The following is a 27198-nucleotide window of genomic DNA, read 5'->3' on the forward strand; positions in this document are numbered from 1 at the left end:
GGGTCATGGTTGGAGCTCTGCGGAAGAGAGAGGTCAGAGGCAATTTTTTTTTTTTTTTTTTTTTTTTTTTTTTTGAGACGGAGTCTTGCTCTGTCGCCCAGGCTGGAGTGCAGTGGCAAGATCTAGGCTCACTGAAAGCTCCACCTCCCAGGTTCACGCCATTCTCCTGCCTCAGCCTCCCAAGTACCTGGGACTACAGGTGCCCGCCACCACACCTGGCTAGTCTTTTTGTATTTTTACTAGAGACAGGGTTTCACCGTGTTAGCCAGGATGGTCTACATCTCCTGACTTCGTGATCTGCCTGCCTCGGCCTCCTAAAGTGCTGGGAATACAGGCGTGAGCCACTGCATCTGGCTGAGGAAATTTTTTTAAACTCTGAAATGTTGCTTTTGAGGACTCAACTTTTGAGCCCCTTCTTGGCTTACTTCAGTTTTCTCCCTAGGTAATCACATCTGTTCACTGGTATTCAATACCCATTTCTTTTGTGATGATTCCCACATTTTTATATGCACAGCCCCAACTTTTCCTCAGAGCTTCGGACTTGCATATGTAACATAAATACTTGGATGTCTCATAGCATTTCAAACCCAAGTCCAAGCCTGAATGCCTGTCATTCTTCTTAAAACTCATTCCTCTTCCACTTCTGCTTCTTTCTCTATCATCCAGTTGCTTATGCCAGAAATCTAGGAGTCATTTTTGACTCAATGATTCTTCTCCACTCTACCCACCATGCTAATCTATCAAGTGCTGTCAATCTTCCCAGCTGAAGCCACCATTATGGCTTAGTTGAACTGAAGCAATAAGTTCCTAACTGGTTACCTTCATTTTATTCTTGTCCCCCTATCCATTCTCTAGATAGTCCGTGCTCTTGTGTTTTTTTTAAAGAGGGAAAAAAGACCAAGTTAGGTCCTTGCTTAAAATCCTTCAGAGGCTTCGAATTCCTCTAAACATGCACACAAACAATTATTTTATTAAGTTCAAGGGTACATGTGCAGGTTTGTTACACATTATTTTGCCACCCAGGTACTAAGCCTAGTACCCAATAGTTACTTTTTCCTCTCCTCTCCCCTCTCACCCTCAAGTAGATCCCAGTGTCTGTTTTTTCCCTTTTTGTGTCCATGTGTTCTCATCATTTAGCTTCCACTAAATGAGAACATATGGTATTTGGTTTTCTGTTCCTATGTTAGTTTGCTAAGGATAATGGTCTCTATCTATGTTCCGTTCCTGCAAAGGACATGCTCTCACTCTTTTTTTTATACCTGCATAGTATTCCATGGTGTATGTGTGTGTACATTTTCTTTATCCAGTCTACCATTGATGGGCATTTAGGTTGATTCCATTCTTTGCTATTGTGAATAGTGCTGCAGTGAACATACATGTGCAAGTGCCTTTGTGATAGAACAATTTATATTCCTTTGGTTTATACACCCAATAATGGGATTGCTGGGTTGAACGGTCGTTCTGTTTTTAGCTCTTTGAGGAATTGCCACACCACTTTCCATAATGGTTGAACTAATTTGCACTCCCACCAATAGTGTATAAATGTTTCCTTTTCTCCACAACCTTGCCAGCACCTGTTATTTTTTGAGTTTTTAATAATAGCCATTCTGACTGGTGTGACATGGTATCTCATTGTGGTTTTAATGTGCAATTCTCTAATGAACAGTGATGCTGAACTTTTATTCATATGCTTGTTGGCCACATGCCTGTCTTCTTTTGAAAAGTGTCTGTGCGTGGCTGGGCACAGTGGCTCACGCCCGTAATTCAAGCACTTTGGGAGGCCAAGGTGAGTGGATCACTTGAGGTCAGGAGTTTGAGACCACCCTGGCCAACATGGTGAAACCCCGTCTCTACTAAAAATACAAAAATTAGCGGGGCATGGTAGCATGTGCCTGTAATCCCAGTTACTCAGAAGGTTGGGGCATGAGAATTGCTTGAACCCAGGAGGCAGAGGTTGCAATGAGCCGATATTGTGCTACTGCACTCCAGCCTGGGCAACAGGTGAGACTGTCTCAAAAATAAAAGAAGAAACAAAAAGTGTCTGTTCATGTTCTTTGCCCACTTGTTAATGGGGTGGGTGGTTTTTTGCTTGTAAAAAGCAAAAATTGACAAACTGGACCTAATTAAGGAGCTTCTACACAGCAAAAGAAACTATCAACAGAATAAAGAGATAACCTACATAATGGGAGAAAATATTTGCAAACTATGTATCTGACAAAAGTCTAACATCGAGCATCTATAAGGAATTTAAATTCCCTTTAGAATGAAATCTAAATCCTTTCCTCTGGCCTACAGGGCTCTGAATGATGGTGTGTGTGTGTGTGTTTTAATGTTATCTTGTGCCTATCTTACCTACCACCAGCTCACCTAACATATTTGAAGAAATGAAAGATCACACACCAATCTTACATATTTGAAGAAATGAAAGATCATGCACTGATCTATCATTTCTTCAACTATGTTAGGCCTTTTCCCACCTCAGGGTGCTTGCACATGTTGTACCCTTTGCTTGGGGTCCTCTTCTTCTCCATTATTTTCATAATTGGTGCCACTGATGAGGTCTTAGCTTAAATGTCATGATTTCAGAGAGACCTTCCCTAGCCCCAAAGTCTAAGTACATTCTTACATTCTTTCATTGGATCCTGGACTTTGTATTTTCAGTGTTTAAACATTTGTCCCATTTCTTTTTCCCATTGCAGACTGGGAGATCCAGAAAGACAGGGACCATGAAGCATTTATTCACTATTGTATATCTAGTCCTTCCACTTTAAGCCAGGCAGATGGCCAAATATTCTTTGAAGAAATAAATGAAATGGGTTAACTTTTTGGCCTCAGGTAAAGGGCTGCCTTGACAAGCATGGGCACTCTTGCCACTCTTGGCTTACACATGGCTGTGAGAACCTGAGCATTTTCCTAGAGGAGGTTTAGAATACAGTATGTGTCATGCAAGTCTTTGCCATGGCTTAAATGACCTTTTATCTGGGGATCTTCCCTTGCCATGACCTCACAAATCAGCCCCCTTTTTTGGTATTTGAAGTAAAAATCTAGAGATTTAGAAATGAAGTCTTGCTTTGTTTAAGAAAAAAGAATAAAAAACTATGAGTCCTTTCACTGTGTAGAGTAAGAAGAAATTTACGACAGGTTGCTTTTGTGCTTGTATTTGATTCAGAATTTGCTTTTGGGTCTTTAATGATCAAATACTATTTATTAATATAAGTAGTAGTTAAGATCTATGTTCTAGATAAGTTCAAATTTTATTCTTTTGCTCCCTAGCTGTAGTACCTTGAGTAAATCATTTAAGTTTTCTGAACCTCAGTTTCCCTATTTTTTTAAAAAAGGGGTTGGGGGATAGTTGTATTTACCTTATAGCATTGTTTTGGGGATTTCCTAAGGTTATATATATAATTATTTACCTAGTGCCTGCCACATAGCAATCATTTCACAGAAGATGATTGTTATTATTCTTTGTAAATAATTTTAGAGAGATAGCTTAGTGTAACAGAACATTAGGCTGAGAATCAATAATCTTGACTTCAAGTCTTAGCTATACCAGTCATAAACTGTGTGAAGGCAGAAACATCATTTGAGCTGTCCGAGCCTTAATATCCTCATCTGTAAAAGGTCACAAGCAAAATTGCCTGACTTGCCTTAAGGCTTGTTGGAAGGATTAAATAAGACAAAAATGTAAAAGTACTTTGTAAACTATAAATCACTATATACTATGTACAAATCTTGAAAGTCATTGGCTTTTCTCTTTAAAAATAGGATGGCTATGACTCAATATTAAAGAAAAGCAGGGGCAGAGTTCAGATAGCTCAAAATTCAACTGCTTCTAAAATGGGAAATACAAATTTTGATGTTACCATCTAAGACTCAGTCATATTTGGCAGCATTCTACTTGCTTAGTTTTCTTTTTTTTTTTTTAAAGAGGCAGCCAGCATGACTATAAAAACTCTCAATATATTTGCAAATTGATTTTTCCGGAGCACATACATTCAGTCTCCTGGAATTCCAGGCAGTATTCTTGGACTCATTCCCTAAGTTCACTTACGGAAGGTAAACACTACCTGGAAAGTAAAATTAGGCTTGTCAAGTCACTGTTCTTTCAATCTGACACATTGTTTGCTTTAGCTGAAGTTATTTTCACATTCATATGAATCTACCCAACGTTCTCTCTCCTTTGAGTGGTGCAGCAAGTGAGTCTGACAACTTCTTTATAGGATGATTATTTAAAATTTTAAAACTTTCTTTATATTTAGTGAGCAAGCTGTTTTTAAATCAACACAGTCTAAAGGACCCTGGAAGCATAGCACTGTCATATTTTTTGGTGTCATTTATTCACAGGTATTAGGAATATGTCATTGTAGAAAATGGCTCAGCTGGTGTAGGTAACCCTTTTGGTTCTTTTCCACTAGGAGCCTGAGAATATGATTGAACAAGCTGCTAAACTTTAGGGGCATACTACAGATGACTGACCTCTTTTCTACTTTCGTTTCATTTTTCACTTAGAATTGCATAAATAGACGAATTCAAGATAACAAACTCATGCTTAGTATTTTGTGGATCTGCTATAGGGAGAAGTCTTTCACCAGGTTCAGCAGTAGGACATGCATAGGAGTGGGTTCATTCTAGCTACTGCTACATTGATGTCATCCTTCATTTTCTCATCTTGGATCCTTCTCATCCAATAAAAACCAAGTTGTGTTGAAATTTTTTTATTTAGCCATCCTCACTGCCAAGCTAGCTTCTGCAATAGTCTCTCAACAGGTTTTCTGTTCATCCACCAGTGCCCCTTCCAATTCATTAACAACTACCCTGCATTTAGAGCGAGTGATGCAGAACATATAAACTGGATCATACCACACTCTTGCCTAAAATCCCTTAGTGGTTTCCCACTGCTTTTCGGGTACAGCCCAGAATCCTTACAGGGATGACTGACTGCTACTCATTCTTTAAAATTCAGCTCAAACATCATATTCTCAAGGAAACCTTCCCCGTCACCTCCGACCCAGGTTAAGTCTCTGGCAAACAAGTGGACACTGGAGGCAGCTTGTTCGGGTTTGTATCCTAGTTCTGCCACTTTTTACTTATGTGAGCGTGGGCAATTTATTTAACCACTTTGGGCCTGTTTCCTCATCTATCAAATGGGGATGATGAAGGCCTTATCCAAGAGGGTTGGCTGTGAGGATTGCCTGAAGAGCACGCATGAAACACTGGGAAGAGGATGTGTAGTAAACATTCTTTCCAGAATGCTCTGCAGTTCTGAGTGGTCTTCTCAATGCCATTAAATGGTCATGTGAGAAAGTCTCACAGAAAGAAATGAAGTAAATGTTATACTGAATAAACAAATGATAAGGCTTGCGGGGAGGGAGAATTGAGAACTTACCTGGGCCTTAGTTAGCTCACACATAAAATTACAGGCAGTGAAACTAGATTACTTCCCAGTTCCTTCCCTCAGCACTCTGCATACCAGTATTCTGGCAAGCAGGGAACAGCAGATGCATGAAAATGAAAACTAGAATCTGTTTGCTCTTTCTTACTACTTTAACCTGTGGGGCTAAGAAGACTGGTGGTGAACTAAAGGAAGTGATTTTGCTTTACTTTACAGACTATAGAGGACTTTCTTTTTCACCCCATATGGCCTAATTGTAGCTAAGTAGAAATAAATAGGACAATGTAAAAGGAAAATAACGTGATCTGTAAAGAAAAGTCCAGGCAAATGTAAACAAAGCTCACTTACTAAACATTTAACTTAAAAAACAAACAACAGTGCCATTAACCTCCTATTTTTTCCTTTTGTTTCTATAAAACACCAGATAGATATGTCAGTCATTTAATTTAGACTTGGAAAGTCACTTATTTCAACCAAAATGATATCCTCAGATGCCGTTCTGCTAAAATGGTGAAAGTCTGGATCAATAAAACTCTGAGTATAACTGTAAGAAGTATTCGTTGCCAAATAGTCTTCCTGTTAGATTGTATAAGGCTATTGTATTTCATAGTGAGCCTTTACTCTTATCACTATTTATACTTGCTTCTGCAAACATAATTTACAATTAAATTGCTGCCTAATTTGTGAGGAGAAAGTTAATGGACTGTGAAACCGAAGTCAAGTTTCATTGTGTGTATATATGCAAACATCAACAGAACTTGAACAACTTCGTATTTGATTTTCAAAGCTGAAATTCAGTGAAAAGGAAAGGACGGGGAAAATCAGAATCACTTATTTAGTGAAAAATATAAGTTTCACAGGAATTTAAGTCCTACTGTTGTTGATATGAACACACCTCACCTTGACTGACCGTTCGCTGTTACGAGTGGCTCTTCTTTTCCACATGCCGGATTTCTTTCTTCGTTTTCACCTTAAAACCTTCTCCCTGCTTTGAAAGGAGTGTACATATTAAGATTTCACAGTGAAACAGTGTTAGTTATAAAGCAGTCCATTCTGATCCTTGGAGGCTGGATTAGGACAAGCGAAACAGTTTAAAGCATTTTGTCACTTCATGTCCAAAAATACGTACAATCTTTAGCTTAACCACACAGTTTAGCATCATCAAGCAAGCTAGAGAGCACTGTCAAAATGAATACAACATAATTGTACTTGACAATAATTCAGTAAGTTAGTGATAAATCAAAATAACGAGCAGCCTATCCATTTCCTATAGTAAGCTAAAAGAAATCAGCACCACAGCTCACAAGGCAGCAGAATTGTAAACAATCTGTTGCAATGAGATTCAGACTTCTTAGTTAAGTACTAATCCATGGAAATGCTGTTGATCTGAGGGACTTTTTTAAGTTAGTGGAATTGCCAATGACTTCCTCTTACTGTCAGACCAAGAAGGCATCTATTTTGCATAAACAAATCCTCTCTTCACTGAGCATCAGGAATACAGTTCCCCGAGAGCAAGGTTGTGGCACAAATACTCAGTTTTTACCCAATTTTTAACAGAAAACAAATGAAGCCTTTTCAATTTTGTGATTTGTACTTCTGATAAATTTTCAGTTTACTTTTTCTAATGTAAACATTGTCTATTGAAGTTTCTATTTTTAAATTGAAAAGGGTAGAGATCTGAGAAACAAGTGAAAAATAACCAGAGATGTTTTCTCTGAGAGAAAGGGGTTGACTGGAGGGATTCTTTAACTGGCACATTGGAAATGGGCTGTTATAAACCCAAAGAGGGGAACCCCCTCCTCAGACGAAGATGGAGGAATTCAGATTTCCCTGCAGAACATACTGGAAAGAGAAAATGTATGGATCCGATGTGCAGATCTTGAACTGAGCCTTTTGCCATTCTAACTTTTAAAGCCTGTGCTTTTGGAGTGCTCTCCGCCCCTGTCCCAACAGACACTCTGCTGAAGGCCAAGCCCTGGGTGGGGCTGAAGCACTGCTCTGAGGTTTGGTGGTGAATGGTGAAGGTTTTATCTTCTTTCTCCCTCAAACTGGCACATTCTGTCCCCTATAAATGACCTTATCTTTGTGAAAACTCTGAAGACAGTTAAAAAAAAAAAGTATGTAACAAAGAATGTTAGGAAGAAAAGTATTTTTCTTTGACCCTGATCAAATGCATAAGATGTCAAAAGCAGCAAACACTTCAAGCTGCCACACTGCAGATGCCAGCCTGTTAGCAGCAATTTCTAGGGAGTGCACAAAGCTTTTGTCCTCTACATTCTCTTTGGCAATCCCTCTCCATTACCACATCATCACGTTTTCTCTCTTGTGGGATAACAATTCGTCTTAATACTTTCCGAGTGATCTGTAGGAAGTAATGGTGAAAAGTAGAGATTTTTCTGTTTTAGGAGATGACACTACAGCACAAAAGTAGCAGAGTTTTTAATGCAGAAAATCTAAATTCCAAGAGAAGCATGAAATCTGAATGATGATTACTTTTCTGGTGATGAGGTTGCCTTCTTCATCAGTAAATTGTTCTTCTGTGACAGATTCACCAGGAATGTTTTTTGCTTCCTCTCCCTAAAGGATGTGGCATAAAGATTAGCAACATACTAGATGGAGAAATCTCCACACTACTCCAAACACCACACACATGCTCTGGAATTTTAGAGAAATAAGTTGTAAATTCTACTTGCTACTCCAGTGCAAGGGAAAAAGGCTGACTTCACTGACAGTTATTTAGCAGTCAACAACATTCAAGCATTAAACCTCAAGTATGTATAAGCGTGATGGTTAGCAACAGATTCCAGAAGGAAGAATTTGAAAATACATAATTATAGGATGCAGTTACACACTGTAAACCGAAAGGCTTCATATGTTGAGACAAATTTTAGCCAAGGATTAGAGCTCTGATTAGATCGTCTCACTTTAAGCACTGTTTCTTCATTAGTTCTACCGAATCTCTAGAGATTTTTGTGGATTGAGTTTTATCTAACTTGAACTAAGATAGTACCTTAGTTTGGGCATGATATTTATCACTCTGGTTTATTTAAAAATTCATTCACTAAAGATAATACACACATTTTTTGAAAGATTATGAGAAAAGTTGAGGGTACAGAGAGAATCTTGAAGACTGAATCTTTCATAGCTCTTAAGTGAGAATAATTGTGTCGGATATAGTACATAGTTTATACACTGAAGTATCTTCATTGCCATAGGCAAAAAAATAGATAAAATCAATACCAAGGGAATTTAAGATGATATCTTCTGATCTATGCACCCACAATCTATAAGAACACAAAGTTGTTTCGTAATAAAAAAAAATGAGAACAAAACAATAGTGTTTTAGTCTTTATTCTGTCATTTTTAAACCAGAACTGCTGCATCTCTATTGGCTGTAACATATGGCAGTCATAGAATGTGCTCACCATTGGCTGGCATTGACAAAATTATCAGAGTCACTATCTTTTACATTCCAGTAATACAGAGTTAGAATCTGGCTTTCTGATTTGTTATCTAATTTTGGAGGGGAAACTCTGAAAGGTCTCACTATGAGTTTTAAAAATAGAATACATTCTTAACTCTCCAGGGTGGGCGCCTATTTTCCTGTCATAGACAGCTTGGTGGATTTAGATGGCTCCATAGTATCTCTCCACTAGCTCTATGATTGTATAACACGACAAACTACTCAGCAGAAGTAGGACCATATCTGCAATACATTACCTTCATTTGTGTTTAACTTAAGATTTGTGCCACTTATAGTTCGGGAGAACAAGGATAAAGATCTTAAGGATGGACTAGTATTCCAGGGTCCTATTGATCTGTCAGTCAAACTTCTTACTGAAAAGGTGAAATGGATAATGCTGCTTGGCAGTGTACAGATGTGGTTTTGTTTTGTTTTAGGGAAAATGGCCAATCACAAAAACAGCTGCCTTCCTGGAAAAGTGAGATTCTAACTCTTTGTGTTACTGGCATGGAAAAGATAGTGGCTCTGATAATTTGGTCAGTGCCAGCCAATGGTGAGAACATTCTATGATTGCCATATGTCATGTGACCATATGTCACAATCAGTAGAAAGGCAGTTCTGGTTCAAAATAACAGAATAAAGACTAGAACACTATTGTTTTGCTAGCAAAGTTTTGTTCTCATTTTTTTTTTTTCTTATTACAAAGTGACTTTGTGTTCTTACAGTTTGTGGGTGCATAGTTCATGACAATGGGCGGGACATTTAACTTGTTTTTCCTCACTGTGGTATAGGTGGAATGAAAATAAAACAAGGTGTTGCTTGATCTTGTTTAGTGCATCTCCAATCTTGCTTATGACAAGTTTGAATCAGCGCAGTGAAGAGAGGGGAGAAAAACTGGAAAAATGTAGAGGTCTTGTGTAAATACACTAAAATTTGCAACACGTTTTTAATGGCAGTGTTATTTGTATTTTCTATGGTTGGTGGTTTCAAATGTTTGGAGAAAACCCAAAATTTTATTTTAAAAGTAAAGTCATAAGGACAGCAAAAAAAGCCAATAAAAAGTAATGAAAGTTTTCCTTATAGCTTAAACACGAATGACAAATATTTTTGAGCTAACTTTTGGAAATGTACACATCTTTGAGTGATAGACAATTAAAGAACCCAGGAAAATCCCTAAAATGGTATCCTATTGGGCAGGTACTGAATGAATCTTTTTGTGGGAAAAGATGTCAGTTAATTTTTGAATTGTTTGGACAATCTCTGAAAGGACTATGAAGTAAGCATATGTATAAGCATAGTGAATACATACAAGTATGTATTCATTGACTTAGATTCATTGACTTAGATTAATAGCCTTACAAAAAGCAAAACCTATTTATAAATAATAAGCCAAAATGAATAGGAGGAATAGATTAGATAGGAGTTGATTAAATAGATAGGAAAGACAGCAGGGAGTCATAAAATACATTTTTAAAAAATTTATCCATCTTTAATTCTGTCAACTATATTAGAGACCAAATGTTACCTAAGAGAGAGCTCTAAGGCCTCTCTTCAATGGGAGAAAGTAATCTCAATTTTTTTTTTTTTTTTGAGATGGAGTCTCGCTCTGTTGCCCCAGCTGGAGTGCAGTGGCGCGATCTTGGCTCACTGCAAGCTCCGCCTCCCGGGTTCATGCCATTCTCCTGCCTCAGCCTCCTGAGTAGCTGGGACTACAGGCGCCCGCCACCATGCCTGGCTAATTTTTTGTATTTTTTAGGAGAGACGGGGTTTCACCGTGTTAGCCAGGATGGTTTTGATCTCCTGACCTCGTGATCCACCCGCCTCGGGCTCCCAAAGTGCTGGGATTACAGGCCTGAGCCACCGCGCCCGGCCTCAATGAGGTTTTTAAAGTTCTTGAAAACACTTAGTATTTTTAAGTAAACAAAATTGTCCCCGTGGTCTTGTTGACAACATCATTTCTGGCAACCTCCCTTCCCTTCCCCCCAACCATTATAAAGGAAAATTATAGCACATGTGGTGTTACATTTTCACCTCTGGTGACGGTATTAATGAAAATTAACTGTACTTCCCTCTGGACTCCTGCTAGAAGCACTGCATTTTATAACTTTTATTTCTCTTAGAATTTTTGAATAAAATGGAAGAGTGACAATATGAAATGTACCAATTTGCTTTGATGGATACGTTAAAACTTGAATTGTCCAAAAATAGGATTGATGCGATATATTTTACAAAAAGCAAATACTAAGCAATATGAATAGTACGAAACCTACATATTTTACACACATATTTGTATATGTATGTAAAAACAATCTGAAGCTTGTGAAGAGTGGTTACCTCTGGGAAATGGAATGAACGGATAGAACTTACCATACGTTTGAACTGCCTGAGTTAGCAGAAACATACATGTAAGCTCTTATTTAGAAAACCAGTAAAAATGTTGAAAAATTGAAATAAAAATACAGTTGTACTATATAGTAAAAATTCAGTTATTTGAATTTTATGAAATTTCACAATAGTTTGGTTGTGTGTTGGTTTACAGTTTTTTACCTTTGCAGTTACTGGATTTGCTAAGCTAATAAGGTAAACTCACGACTGGTTAGTAACATAAATTGCTTCTAAGCATTTGAAACCACTGTATATTATCAAATTGTATAGAGATCAGAATTTTATCAGCACATTCATTTAAGTCCCATGACAAATGGGAGATTTTGTTGACTTGACTCATTCTATAGGAGTTTGAAAACATTAAATGTAAAAAAAAGGTTAAAACTTCATAGAAAAAGAATGGATCCACTTTGAAAGTAAAGAGAAAAATCGCCGTCACCTCATTTATTATACAAATGGAATTCTAAGAAGACAGATTTGCCCAGACTTTTGGCAATCCAATGCTTAGCATACATACTGCTTCCTCTGGGAGATACTTCCCAGCCAGAGCTAGCTCTGGGAGGGATGGAACCACCCCAGACTAGTTTTCAGAACTGGGATACTAAGTGCTAGGGGGCTTACTATGGCAAACAGTGTTAACTATGCTGGTTCAGTCCAGGTTTGGACAGCATCCATGAGGTAAGTCAAATTCCCAGCATTCCAGCCCCATCAAATGGTTCCCAGGAATGACAGCCCAATGCTGCCCTCTTCTGTGCTGCTGAAAAGATCTGAATGGTCAAATACCTGATTTAGCCTAGCAAAAAGGAATACTTTTTCATTTGTTCTGGAAGAGAATACACTTGTTCCTTAGTATCCACAGGGATTGGTTCCAGGACCCCTGCAGATAGCAAAATCTGCAGATGCTCAAGTCCCAGATATAAAATGGTGCAGTATTTGCATATAAGCTACACATATTCTCCCATATACTTTAAATCACCTCTAGATAACTTATAATACCTAATATAATGTAAATGCTATGTAAGTAATTGTTATACTATATTGCTTCTTACTTCTACTGTTTATTGTTTTATTTTCTCAAGGTTGGTTGAGTTTGTGCATGTGGAATGCCCAGATATGGAGGTCCAATTGTATAGTATTGAGGAAAAAGCACTTCACTAGAGGGCTAGGGATTAGGTTCTAGTCCCAGAGCTGCTGCTGTCTGGCTGTGTGATTTTGAGTAAATAAATTTATCTCCAATCTTCAGTTCTGAGATCTTGGAAACACAGTAATTTTAGTCTCAATGACCCATTTAGGTACTACATTCCCATTTTATGTTTTTGACAAGAGATGGTTCCCATGTCATATTCACCATATACTATTATAGTCCTCAAGCTCTTTTCCATTAGAAAGATAGATAGCAACATATGGAGTAAAGAGAAAAGCAACAGAAGTGTGACTCTTTGCAATTGCCCCAAAAATCTGAACAGAAAAATAATTTATAAAGTGTTTTTGTTATACCTATAGCTTCCAATGATGATTATAACTATTTTTTAGCCTTTGGTTTTTCCATCTCATATGAAAGATATCTCTCAAAGCTTGTTTGTGAATGATCCTATTGTTTATACAATGCCTTCCTCAGTTATAAAACCTATTCTCTGATGACTTCACTCAATCTCTCTAAAATTACATTAACTTCAAGAAGTAATGGGTCTGGGCGCAGTGGCTCACGCCTGTAATCCCAGCACTGTGGGAGGCCAAGGTGGGCAGATCACAAGGTCAAGAGATCGAGACCATCATGGCCAACATGGTGAAACCCCATCTCTATTAAAAATACAAAAATTAGCCGGGTGTGGTGTCGCACGCCTGTAGTCTCAGCTACTTGGGAGGCTGGGGCAGGAGAATTGCTTGAACTGGGGAGGTGGAGGTTGCAGTGAGCCGAGATTACACCACTGCACTCCAGCCTGGCCACAGAGCAAGACTCTGTCTCAAAAAAAAAGTATTTGGGGAGAATACGGACTCCCCTGTTTTTATGAAACCTACAACATTATAGTGGATTTTTGTCTTTTAAACCTAAGTTCTTAATAAATATGTTAATATGTTATAATCATATTTTAAGCTGAAAAACAAAGATAACTTACTCTAAGAAAATTACTTAATAGCTAACTTGCTGGTGCATATCTAGAATTCTAGGAGACCAAAGGAAATAGCCCTTATTGATTTGAGAGGTTTTGAAGTTATTGTTTTTGTTTTCTCAGAGAAAAACTTCTTTATCCCCGCCTTCCACTTTTTTTGCATGGCTATATTTGTTTTCTTTTGTCCTGGATAGAAGAAAGTCAACTTCTATCATGGGCAGCTATTATAAAGGAATGTGGTGGATTTAGATGTAACATTAGTATGTGATATGTTAAGCATAAAAGACAAGTTCGAAGCACTATGTGCTTTTTCTAGACCTTTCACTTTAAAATATCATATCTTGAAGACACTGATTATGAGAATAGCAAAAACTCAGAAAAACAGAATCAAGCATTCCCCCACCCCAACCCAGAGAACATGTGTGAGGTGACTGATTATGAGGATTTTATTGATAGCAGGTTAAATACTTGCAAATGTGCTAGACAGCAATAAGTAATTTGGCTTGCTTATATACATGGAATTTTCAAAGAAGTGATTCATGGTTTTTAAAGGAACCCTATTGAGCTTACAATTGATTTGCAGGATAACTCAAAATTTAGACAACGATTTATTTTCTTCCCTAATGTTTCCAGAGTCTTAGAAAAACTGTATTAGGGCAGATTTGGTGGAGTTTCTTCATGAAAAGTGAAAAGCACCAGGATTAAGAAATTTTGGACACCTGTGCCAACTTCTGTGCTTTCTGTTGGGTCTCTTGACACTTTGGGATTGGTTAAGTTTGATAAATGGTTTTCAATAGATATTCTCTTCCTCTTTCTCTCTAGGGCAGTAACCAAGAAGCCTCAAGTTATTTGGATCATATTCAAAAGTCTGCGCATTGAAAATGGCTTTCTAGTTCTCTGAACTCAATTATTCTAACCCTTAGAAAGATCTGATGACGAAGTAATGAAGACAAGGGGGAGACTACAAGAAGCATTCTGTGGAACCTTACTACGCAAAAGGTAAGTGCTTCAACAGACCTTTGTGAAGGAAAGACAGAATATTTATTAATAGTGTTTTCAATTGTGCCGTAATAGGGAAGAATTCTATTTTCCTTTTTTTTTTAAATTGACTCCTATACTTAAAAATGCAGCTTGATTTTTTTCTTGTGTGTTAGTAAAGTTAAACAAACACCTATTTCAGATTTTTTTTTTTTTTTACTTGACTTGCATTGTGTCACATATATCCATGCCAGGTTATAACCTCAAATTCTCAGCCACTGATTGCTTATGAAGAACTGGTTTTAATTTAAAAATTCTTAAGGCAGTAGGAATTTGAGACTGAGAAGGAAGCCTTTTAATTCTTTCATTCTCTTTCTTCTTTATCGTGCCTCATACCTTGTTACAGTTTCTAAGGTTTCAATTAAACATTTCATTTGATATGAACTACTGTGTCACCAAGACAGAATCTTTGCTCATTCACATAACACTTCTTCAAGGAAAGCAGGATACAAATGCCAAGAATTCTCAAATAAAACTACAACCGCCACATATCAAATAGGCCTATACAGAATACCATGCAACATGGCTTCTTTTCTTTTTGGTTGTTGTTTTTACAAGCTTTCAAGGGTGCAAAAAAATTACACAAAGCCATTTCATTATCAAGCATGCTGAAATTTCACAACCACAAGGAAGGAGTTTCTACAACCACAAGGAAGGAGTTTCTAATAGTAGAGCAATGCCACATAATGATCCAGCTACAGGATACCTTTATAATCAAACGCCGGCGAATAACTCGGGTAGTGACTCTCCGCTCTTCCTCTGAGCTTGAATCACTCTCACTGTCTTTCAAGTCCTGACAAATGCATTTTTAGTATAATTTTACCATCACACTTAAAATAAAAGACATTCTGAGAAGGGAAATCAAGAAAGAATTACACTTACTTGATGTTTTCTTCTTTTTTTTTTTTTTTTTTTGCCGACTAAAGAAAACCATGATGTATATTTGTGAGAGTCTTAAAAAAAATTTAAGTGGAAGAAAATTTTTGACCAGGATTCTAAGTGAAATTACTCTGTGCATGTGTGTGTGTGTGTGTGTGTACAGGTAAAGATCAAGGTAGTTATAAGTTATTAAAAAATAATTATGGAGACTTTTTGGCAGCAGAAACTACAATTAAATCATTCATATTCCTTTTAAAACTAGTTTAAAATCTATATTCATCTACCATGAAGGTGTATACCCTTGTAAATTGGGCCATATTTCATTTGATCTACAGAAAGAGGCATAATATTTTGGACTTCTATGAAATTTTGGTCAAATTTGACAACCTTATTAAAAGCTATTTTGAACTTTATTAAAAAGTAAAGAATCTAGCTGGGCACGGTGGCTCACACCTGTAATCCCAGCACTTTGGGAGGCCAAGGCGGGTGGATCACTTGAGGTCAGGAGTTCGAGACCAGCCTGACCAACACGGTGAAACCCTGTCTCTACTAAAATACAAAAAATAGCTCCTTAGGAGGCTGAGGCAGGAGAATTGCTTGAACCTGGGAGGCAGAGGTTGCAGTGAGCTGAAATCGCGCCACTGCACTCCAGCCTGGGCAATAGGGCAAGACTCCGTCTCAACAACAACAACAACAACAAGTAAAGAATTTATATTAGCATATTTTGGCACATATATTTATATTCAAGAGATTAATATCAGCATAATTTGTACCTAACACATAACTGGTACTGAGAAAGAATTTAATGAAGGAATAAATGTATGAAAGCTTGAAATCTTTTTTTAAAGAACTGATAATGAAATTAGAATATAAAATAGAATACCTTTCACAGACAAGAATATAGTTGCTGCACAAAATATTAATTTTTAGGCAATAAAGGTGGGAATCTGGAAAAACTACCAAGGGGCAAATAGTTCATAATTTGAAGGGGAAAATATCTTTAGCTTTCACTTAGATGCCATGGGGAAGAGTATTTACTGAGTGGTTAAATTTCTAAATTTTAATGGTGGAACTATGAAAATAATTCTGGTACTTTATCTTTGAAGTTAATTCATTACCTCAAATCTAATAGTCCCAGAGACAGAATTTAGTTAACATCCGCTGGAAAAATGAATTCCAGTATTTGTTTAAAAAAAAAAATAAAACTGCTATAGGAGGTACAGGTGTTAGATAAAATGCTTTATGAAATGTTAGTTGTATAGATAATAAACTAGGCCATCTTTTTCATCAACAGTAAACTTGACAAGTATTTTAAAATGTTAAACAGTACTATCAGCCTTGACTTTACAGGAAATTTCACCTCAACAAACCACCCCACTGAATAATATGGTTTTAAAAGAAAATCATAGCCACTATCCTTACAAGGAGTAAGAACTTGAACTAAGTTTGCTATTATTATTTTAAATTTTTCAGTAAAGGACAGTAAATTTAGGAGACTTAGAATGATTTAAGTATTGTGGAAGGAAGCTTTGCAAAGGCTCAAGAAGTCAGAAAGAGGTAAAAGGAATCTGTGTTGACGAAAGAAAAGAATTATTAGCATTCCAGGATTAATGGGTTGGATGAGGCAAAAGGGAAAACTGAATCTGAATTATCTGTACATGGAATCATAAGTTGAGGAAAGGTTTTCACTTGGGTGAATTCAAAAGTAGAAGAGCATCTATGTTAAAGCAAACACAAACAACAAACCTAGAGGTGATTATAGCATAATCCTACAAAAAAATCATGTGAGGCCAACCCCTTACATAAAGAAAAAGTGGCCATTTGGTCATTGTTTCAGTTTCCACTTTTTCCCTGGAATCTCTGCTAACCTTAAAGTGAAAATGGAGGAAGAATCTCAGGCTCAGGATTCCTTTTAGTGAATTATCTAGGAATTGGTAAAGGGGAAAACAAGGAAACCAAATGGAATTTTCTCAGTACTCTTTGCCATGGGTTGCTGCATGGAAACAGGTGGAAAATAGCAGAATTTTACCTTATAACAGCAGGCAGTCATCCGTGTAGGAGCCGCACCCGGACTTTTGACCTGATTTTTTAGGGGATAAAAAGGGGGCTGTTTTCTGAGATCATACATCAGATGACCTAGTTGGTTGCTATTATACTATGGTATAGCCACAAACGATACATCCTAAACATCTTTGGTTTTCTTGTGAGGTCAGGTTCATGTCTCCTAGAAGCTTTAACTCCATTATGGATTTTTTAGGTCATGAAGTCTTTCTGCATTATAATAGGACTCGAAACCAATATCAGAGGCACAAACTCATTTACAAGAAATCCTGAAAATGTTTTCTAATGGTAAATTATTTTCCATTACTGACAAACTCAGCTAAGTTTCCACTCAAGGTTTAAAACTAAATTTTCAACCGTCTTTATGCCAATGGCCAATATGATTTTCCAGTGGCCCATACATATGCACATGTACACACACAGCGGTGTTTATATGTGTTTGTATAGAAATTTGCCTTTAGAACTTTAACAGGCTTTTGCAGAATAAATATTCACAGGAAAAATACCACTATGTTATTGCTTCTCTCTATATTTTGTGGGATCATTTTAAAAGGAAACTTATCCAAAACTCACACCACTTAAATATACTAAAAGTCAAGTCAAAGACAGAAATCAGTATTCAAAACCACACTTGTCAGGACGGAGTTAAAGAAGGCCTGAAAAAGACTTAAAAGAGCTTAAAACTAAAACAAAACCATTAATAAAAATTTAGTGAAGGCAGTTATTAAATGAGCTGGAGATTATTTTAGGATATCATTTAAGCAACTGATTACCACCACCAAATCTTATATCAAAGCAACTTACTTACAGGGAAAAAAAAATAGATGATCTAGAACTAAACTTCCTCTTACTCTCCCTTCTAACAAGCCTGAAAATAGTCAGATATTGTCTGCAGAAGGGAATAGGAAAGGATGTGATTACTGATAAGCTGAGAATCAGCTCCTGAGCGATTGAGTTTGCTAAAAGTCTTCCTAAACCTCAAATCAATCTTGAACTCATTATTTCAGAAAAGACTTGTTTTTTCCTCCCAAAACACTAAAGTGGGTCTTCAGTGAACTGGATATGTCTCAGCGAAAACTGCAAGTGCTACTATTAATCTCTGTCTATTGCAGAATTGATGAAAAGACATAAAAATTGGGAGAGTAAAAAGCAGTAAAAAATGTAGGAAACAGAGCTGCTTTTTATTTTCTTATATCCACGTATGAGTCATCATTTCAGTTTAAAATACTTTTAATATCTAAAAATAGAGTAAACCTCAAAGAAAAAAATCTATTAGATTGTACCACAAAAGTACAAAGAACAAGCAAATCTATCACAGTGAGGTTTTAAAGTGATTAGAAATACATGTTAAGACAATCATCATCAACTTATATAAATTATAAAAATTATACTTCTAATTTTAAATTTCTAACTAACTGCTGTCAACTCACCTCATTTTAGGCTTGGAATTTCATCTCTTTAATTTTTAAAACACGCTTTCAGACAACAGACCATACAGAACAGAACTTAGATGGGTCAGATGCTATAGACTGTTTATGCCAAGGAGCCAGAAAGGATCAGAATGATTATCCTCCTCCCATAAGGAAGAACACGGAGTGGGAGTTAGGAAACCTAAATCCCAGATAAAATACTGGGTCTTAAACTAGTTACTTAACGTCTCTCTGGTTCTTGTCCCTCCTAAAAATGGCTAAACAGATACTTATTCCCTTTTCCTGCACCATGAATGAAGGTATAACGAAATGGCATACATTTTACTTGGAACTTTTTTTTTTACCTATGTGTTTAACTCAGTACTTTCTTTACCTCCACCATTAGTGCTACAATTTCACACATTTATAATTTAGAAATCGTAAAAAACCTTGGGCCCCCGGCTGCAAGATCAATCCAAAGAAGTAAAGCACCGATACTTTCCATTTCAATGACTGCTACCGGATGACCAGATGACGTACCTTTTGCTCAGACCCACTGGACCCCTCTTCTTCATGGAGGCTAAGCCTTGGCTTGCCATCTGCTGGAGAAGTCCTACTCATCTTTTTCATACTGACAGGCACACAGGGTTTAGTCTCTTCTATTATAAGCTTGCTGGTTTCTTCTAGAGATTTCTGATATGCTGCTAGTGGTGATGCTGGTTCTTCAACATGACCAGATCCATGTATTTTTGGTTTCAGAGTTTCCTTGGTACTCTGTTTTCCTACATCATTTTGGGATTCTGGAAAGTAAGATTTTGTCTTTGCTTCTGGAGTGATTTCTGTATGGCTTCCATTTGCTTCAAATTTGCCAGCTTCTCCTTTGAGATATGAGGTAATGGAATCTCTACACTGGTCAGGGCTGCAACAGAAAATTTGCAAATTCACAATGGCAAACTATGACTGAATATAGGTTGCAGAAACTCTAAAGTTTTAAGAACTGTGTCTTTTGCCTACTTCTGAAGGCATAAAATAGAAAAGTGTGAAAAGTGTGGCCACTGGATTTAAAATGTAGCTGGGCGCAGTGGCTCATGCCTGTAATCCCAGCACCTTGGGAGGCTGAGGCGGGAGATCACCTGAGGTCAGGAGTTCGAGACCAGCCTGGCCAACGTGGCAAAACCCCATCTCTACTAAAAATACTAAAATTAGCCAGGCGTGATGGCACGTGCCTGTAATCCCAGCTACTCAGGAACCTGAGGCAGGAGGATTGCTTGAACCCGGGAGGTGGAGGTTGCAGTGAGCTGAGATTGTGCCACTGTATTTCAGCCTGGGTGACAGAGTGAGACTCTGTCTCAAAATAAATAAATAAAATGTAAAGGGCTCTCATGGGTGCGGTGTCAGGAGGTGCTACACAGCTTCTAGACATCCCCCATATCTCAGTTGCCAAATTGCCTAGCTATGCTCTCGTCTAAATAAACAAACTGCAGTTCTACAGCTACTTGAATTCTATCATCTTGATGAGTGATCCTGAAAGGCTCATGGACATACCTAGAGTTCCAAGCCCACCAATCTTAAAGGAGAAGAGATTTCAGAACGCTTCTCTATCACCAGTAAAAAATAAACTGCTGGCCGGACTCAGTGGTTCTTGCCTATATTCCCAGCATTTTGGGAGGCTGAGGCAGAAGGATCCCTTGAGCCCAGGAATTTGAGTTCGGCCTGGGTGATGTGGTAAAACCATGTCTCTACCAAAAAACTACAAAAATTAGTGGGCACAGTGGTGCATGCCTGTAGTCCCAGCTACTTGGGAGGCTGAGGTGGGAGGATCGCTTGAGCCTGGGAGGCAGAGGTTGCAGTGAGCAAGGATTGAGCTACTGTACAAAAAATTGCGCCCTGTCTCCAAAAAAGAACAAAACAAATTCCTGTGGTCAAGACTGTGGTATTCCCCCAAGTACCCCAAATTCCAATTCTTTGTATATGTTTTCAGTCATGAATCCTGCCGTTACTTTTCCAACTCTAATACCTTTACTTGAATCTCATTTTTCTCTACTCTTGACCTCTGCTAATCTCACTAGTGATTTGAGGGTTGCACACCCTTTTCTACCTACTGAGAGAACTGTTTTTCCCTTAACTATTAAAACTCTTTCCTTTCCAATGCTTTCTTTTAAATTGACTTCTAAGTTTTTTACAAGTTTCAGTATAGACTATTTTTCACTTTTTTTGTAGCTTGCGTATTATTTTGAGCATCTTTGTTTATTACCGCTAGAAGGCAATAACTAGTACAATGCTTTATATGTATAATATATACTTATATATGTGTGTGTATTCCTTTAAATCAGATTCTGATTATCTGAACATACTTATTTTTAAAAGACATCCATAGCACACTCTATTCTTTATGTGTAAGGATAAACAATCCAAGCATACTGTGAAGATCCTGTAACATATAGCTTTATGACTTTGGTTTAATTTTCTATTCCCCAGTCCACATTGCTTGCCGGCGTTCTCCTACCCTGCATATTCTGATAACAGGAGCAAAGTGACTGGCATTTTCCTCCTTCTATGGAACCAGGGGATTCACTAGTGTTTTTTCTATATAATTCACTGGCAGAGCCTATATAAAACAAGGAATTTCAGCGGTTTAATAATGATGAACACCTTTCCTATATCTATTCCCTGATATGTAACTATAAATTGTGTGACTATATCTGAACATAGACATCAAAATTAGTACTGTTTGTCTTCTTTGCAACTGTCTCTTTTGTAGGCTGTAGATAAAGTTCATTCATGCCTGCAATTTTTCAAAAGTAGTTTTGTAAACTCCCTCTTTGGGAATTTTTATTGAGCAAGAAGCTTATTAATGACATAAAAATATAAAATATGGTTATGAAATAAGTTCTCTTGTGTCCAATTTAATCACTAGCTGGCACTGAAGTAAAATATATTTTAGTCTAATGTGTATGTAAATAAAAATAATGCCTAGTGCTACTGAGAAATTACTATTTGTGTCAGTCATTTGGTAGACATGATACATCCTCTCTTTTTCTATCTATAAATCTGTTTAAGGAAGGTAGTAGTATTCTTATATTTAAAGATAATTAGAGTGACATTCTTAGAGCTTAGAGATTCATCCCAAATCACAAACTACATTCCTAATGGTGGTGGGATTTGAAACTATGTCTCAGATTCTAGACTTTCACCTTTCTAGAGCAAGGCCAGTATAAGAATTAACCAAATTCATGACCAGGAAATTATTTTGGGTAAAGACAAATGTGACCAGGAAATTATTTTGGGTAAAGACAAATGTTCATCATGGCAATATTATTTGGTGTAAAAAACTGTGTATCTTTCAAATTATGAAAAATAAGACTCGTGGAAAAATAGAAGGATATGTAAAATCAGTTTTTCCTAGTATGGTAGGAGAATGGATGGCTTTTCTTTTTGCTACTCTGCACTTTTTACATTAAGACATTTAAAAAATCATGCGTAGAAGAAAATCCACCAAAATGTTATTGGTAGATGATGGGGTGTATTGATTTGTTTAATCTGCATTTTAAGTTTTAATAATGAGCATATTTATGTTTGCAGTTAGGAAAAAAACAGTAATGTTTATATTTCTAAATAACATGGACTTTCATTCATTATTCTTCTTATGTTTTTGAGACAGAGTCTCACTCTGTCACCCAGGCTGGAGTGCAGTGGTGTGATCTCAGCTCACTGCAACCTCCACCCTCATGTGTTCAAGCAGTTCTCCTGCCTCAGCCTCCTGAGTAGCTGGGATTACAGGTGCGTGACACCACACCCAGCTGATTTTTGTATTTTTAGTAAAGATGAGGTTTCACCATGTTGGCCAGGCTGGTCTTGAACTCCTGACCTCAGGTGATCCACCCACCTCATTATTTTAAAGGAACAATAATTACTGGCTATATGAAAAGAATCATACAAGTAATAAAGTAGAAAAGAATAGTATTCTAAAGTAAAGACAACGTATAAATCTTGGGCATGTATGTAAATTTTCTTGTATTTTATTTCAACAGTTTTGAGAATTAAATTTAAATTTAAATTCACTTTCCTTTCCAGATTAGCATAATGAACTGGTCTTTAAAGCAGGTTTTATCCCAGAACTAGAATGGTAATTTAGAAGAAGTCACCACTAAAAAGCATGTATTTAAGATAAACTATTAACAAGTAACCTGTGTTCACTTTCCTTTTTTTGAAACAGCCATACCTGTCATCCAGTCGATCTAGTAACCCACCAGTTACTCTTCGAGCTTGAGCGCAGGACTCTAGGTTTCCACTTGATGTCTCATTCTGCCAACCTGTAATTGAAGACATTTCCAGTTCTGCTTGCTGAACACGCTTAAGAATAGCCTGTACTTTTTCTTCTGTCATCTCCTCAGACTCTACTCCTTCTTCAAGTTGAATGTCCTCAAATAGAGATTTGAGTTTCTCTTCCATCATCTCCTCATCAGGACCAGATTTTCCTTTCTCCTGCTGCTCAGAGCTTACTCCTAGTTTTCTAGGCTCTGCTGGTTTAACATCTTTTGGGGACCCAGCCAAATTTCCAAGGTATTGAGGATACTCACTCAGACATACATTCTCCAACTGGCTCTCATCTACATCCACTGCTTCAGGCATTTCTGTTAAAGGCACTGAGTCTTCCAGTTTGCTGTCTTCTAAGGAAGCGTCTTCTGCAGTTACGACTGGAGGTCCATCTGCGGAATGCTCTATGTTCCCCTGGGAAGGCACTAGCCCATCACTCAGTCTACTAGGGGTTCTAAGGGGAGATTCTATGCTAGAGATATCACTAAAATAATCATCTTGCTGGAAAGGGGTAGGTGGTGTGTAGTGCAACCCTGTGGGGGTTTCCAGTTCCACTTGAAGGGAAGGATAACCTATGGAAGACAGTACATTTGGACTGACTGGAATGAATTAGAATACATCAAACAAAAACACATGGAATGACTAAAATTATATCAGGCATGAAAAATGTATGATGAATTACAGATTAATGTCAATAAATTTATCGGTTTAGTTCAATTAAATGTAACACAATGAAATAAAAAGCCTAGTGCAAACTCCAATAAAATAGAATACTAATTAAGATATCAATTGTTTCTGTTTTGGAAATTATGATACAATAAGTAAATATGCACACTAATCCAAAGTATGCAGACTAAATATATAAAGTTTATATATTTAAGTTTATATAAAGACCAATATAAAGTTAGTTGTCATTACATGAGATACTTATTATCTTTCTATATTTAGCATGCGAAGTTCATACTGTGGTGGACTGAATACAGCAAGCCACAAGAAACCAATTTTTATCATTAATTACCTACAACTTTTATATTAATTACCTACAACTTATTTTAAGAACTGTACATATGAGCAAAGCAACCTAGTTCTTCTTTCACATGAAATTATAGCACAGAAAAACGGATTTAATCTTTGGAAAGAAATGATTGTTTGTTAGATTTTAGAGCAGTGGCACTGGGAAAAAAATTTTAAACGATGTTAAGAAAAGGATTGAAAAAACAGACCAAGTTTAAAAGACTCCATGTAGTTTTAGGGTGTTGTACAAAAACAGATATGACCAAGATGAAAGGGTTGTGGAGTACATGAAGGTCTTGGTGAAGTCAGTGGTAGGGTCCACTCAGAACCACGAATCAAATAAACAGAAATGATACACAACAGAGATAGTAGGAAAACCATTCGCAGGGAGCACTCTGAATATTCACGACAATGCTATGAAACATAGAGTTTATTAACCAGCCTACACAAAAGGGGAGGGGGGAACGAATCCCTTGTTTTAAACATTGCTGCATGGACTATGGAAGCATTTTTCTGCCTCAGCAGAGAGAAAAGTCAACAATGGTCTGGTCATGGTGAGGAAAGGAAGTTTCATAAAAGTTCAACGAAGAGGAGAGACAGGAAAAAAGCAACAAACCACAGTTTCTGAATTGTTGGTCTACAAAATAAAAGTCTAATTTTTCCATCAGTCCCAGGTAAATACCAACTTAGCTGCTGTTGTAAACTCAAATTGCTATAGGTAAGTGAACATTTTTCAGTTATGGTCATCTATAAACCAGACTCTTGTTGAAAAGCTGGCTAAGATTAGCTGAGGTTTATAATCTGCCTAAGTGAAATTACTTCATATACATGTTTCTAAATTTCCCTAAGAAATTTTGAAAAAGGAATTTAAAAATATTAAGATACAGCAACAAAAAGCCATTTCATTTTTGACTGTATTTTAAGGATATTCCAATTTTAAAATGTTCAAATTAAATGAAGCTTTCAACACAACTACTTCTGTTGTGTTCTGGTGATCTTTTTTATTAGAGTTACTTAACAACTATTTTTTCCAATAAAGAATATTAGAAGAATGTATAAACTATAACTTATCAATAATTTAAAATTTGATAAGATGATCTATATTTATCTAGTGCAAAAAGCATGTGGTTACTAATATATGGCCTTGCATATAAGACAAGGCCTCAAAGGGAGCGTTTTTCCAAGGTTCTATGGTCTTTATAAACTTAAAAAGAACCGCTTTTTACTTCATTACCCATTGTGTTTGTTACATGTATAACAAGTATGCTTTAAATCTTTTGTTGACTTAAACTTTTTTTTTTTTTAAGAGACAGACAGTGCTTGGCCAGACTTAAACTTTTTAATAAGCAGGAACTTTCTAAGAATTTTAAGATTTTTTCCACAAAATATATGCAGAATTAGAAGTTAATTAGAAGTTTGTGACTCTTGTTAATCTAACTTTGCCAGTTTAAAAATGGAATACTAGAAAAATATCCTTAGTTCTTATTCCTGCCTCCACACCATCATCAAATTTTCTACTCAAAATTCATTATAGAGGCTGGGTGGGGTGGCTCATGCCTGTAATTCCAGCACTTTGGGAGGCAGAGGTGGGTGGATCACTTGAGGTCAAGAGTTCGAGACCAGCCTGGCCAACGTGGTGAAACCCCCATCTTTACTAAAAATACAAAAAATTTGCTGGGCACGGTGGTGCATGCCTGTAATCCCAGCTACTCAGGAGGCTGAGACAGGAGAATGGCTTGAACCCAGGAGGCAGAGGTTGCAGTGAGCCGAGATCGTGCCATTGCACTCCAGCTTAGGCGACAGAGCGAGACTTCGTCTCAAAAACAGAACAAAAATTCATTGTAGGAATAAATTTTCATTTGTGAGCCTAAGACAGGACTATTTTGAAAAACATAGGAAGATATTTATTATGTTTTTCTTAATATTTCAGTGAAGAAAGCACAATTTACATAATGAGGAAAAAATGACAAGATCATTATATAAATTAAGCTAATGTGAAAGAGGAATTGTTGTTAGTAACATGTATGCCGACTGAATTAGAAATTATGCTGCCTTTGATATACAATAGATCAAGCAGTTTTTCCAAAGAATAAATGGCAGCATATTCATGAAGTTAAAATAACAACGAACGCTAAATAACTAAAGCACATACTTGAATGATACATTAAATTTTTTCAGTGCACATTTAAATACCTGGTGCCACACAGTAAATTGCCATTTTACCTTACAATTTGTATACTATATGCTTACACTTTACTCAATACCTTGCTTATTTGATAAAAATGGCTCATCGTTTGTTTTACCTATATACGAATAAAAGAGGTAACTAGTTTAGGAGGGTTAATATAAAAATTAAAAGTGACAAAAGCAATGCATTCTCTAGATATTTAACTTTTATGAAATATTAGAAATACCAACTCTTTCAGATACCTTAGGCGTTCATACGTCATGATTTATATTGTATATTTATATTGTATATAAACAGAGGTATTTACCAAGTTTGCTCTGATATCAGAGTGTTTATTTGCAGACTCTGGCAGAGAAAATGAGAAACTAAGTCAAGCAAATCACAGTTTAGTTGCTTTTAAGTGACTGCCTTGTCTGACTGCACTTTCAAATTTTATCAAATGATTAAATAAATATGAACACTAAATTCGATTACCATCAACAGGGTCATGGAAAACATTGTTCTCATCTGCAAAACTTCTGGTGCCTGAAATATTTCCATAATCAAATATTGGTCCTTCTAGCAGTGTCACTATATCTATTCGATTAATTTTTGTCAAGACCGAAGTTAAGGCATCAGCTGAAAAGGAGAAAAAAAGGTTGAAAACCCAATTAAATTATGTTCTTTCAGTCAGCACAATATCTACACAAAGGCATGGCTTTTGCAGCCCTGCTGACATTTTAGCTCCTTCTTACTCCATCTCTGCAATCTCCCTATCCAGAGGACTCAGAATGCTCGCTGCTACAGGGAAGGTGTCAGAGTCTTAATCATCACTTTGTAAAGCTGTGTTCCACTGGAACAGTGCGGATGGGCCTTAAAATAACTAGATTCCTGTTGGCTATAAGGGGATCTAATAAAACTAAAGTTTCCTTTCCTCTTAGAATGTCAAAATAGGTCACCCT

The 27198-nt window shown here is 36.9% G+C and overlaps 1 protein-coding gene across 5 annotated transcripts in view; it reads right to left on the reverse strand.

Moving 5' to 3' along the window:
• Positions 1–27198, reverse strand: part of ANK3 (ankyrin 3) — a 707231-nt gene that overhangs the window by 10082 nt on the left and 669951 nt on the right. For 4 of the 5 annotated variants that reach the window (NM_001204403.2, NM_001204404.2, NM_001320874.2 and 1 more), the window contains 5 exons: positions 26732–26875; positions 23319–23627; positions 22961–23051; positions 19279–19657; positions 6293–6380 (listed from right to left, as the gene is read on the reverse strand). In NM_001204403.2, coding sequence (NP_001191332.1) covers positions 6312–6380; positions 19279–19657; positions 22961–23051; positions 23319–23627; positions 26732–26875 — 992 coding nt within the window. In that variant the 3' untranslated portion in view covers positions 6293–6311. The remainder of the gene's footprint in view (positions 1–6292; positions 6381–19278; positions 19658–22960; positions 23052–23318; positions 23628–26731; positions 26876–27198) is intronic. The other variant, NM_020987.5, reaches the window with a different exon arrangement.

Source organism: Homo sapiens, chromosome 10, assembly GCF_000001405.40.
Source record: "Homo sapiens chromosome 10, GRCh38.p14 Primary Assembly".
NCBI classification, from domain to species: domain Eukaryota; kingdom Metazoa; phylum Chordata; class Mammalia; order Primates; family Hominidae; genus Homo; species Homo sapiens.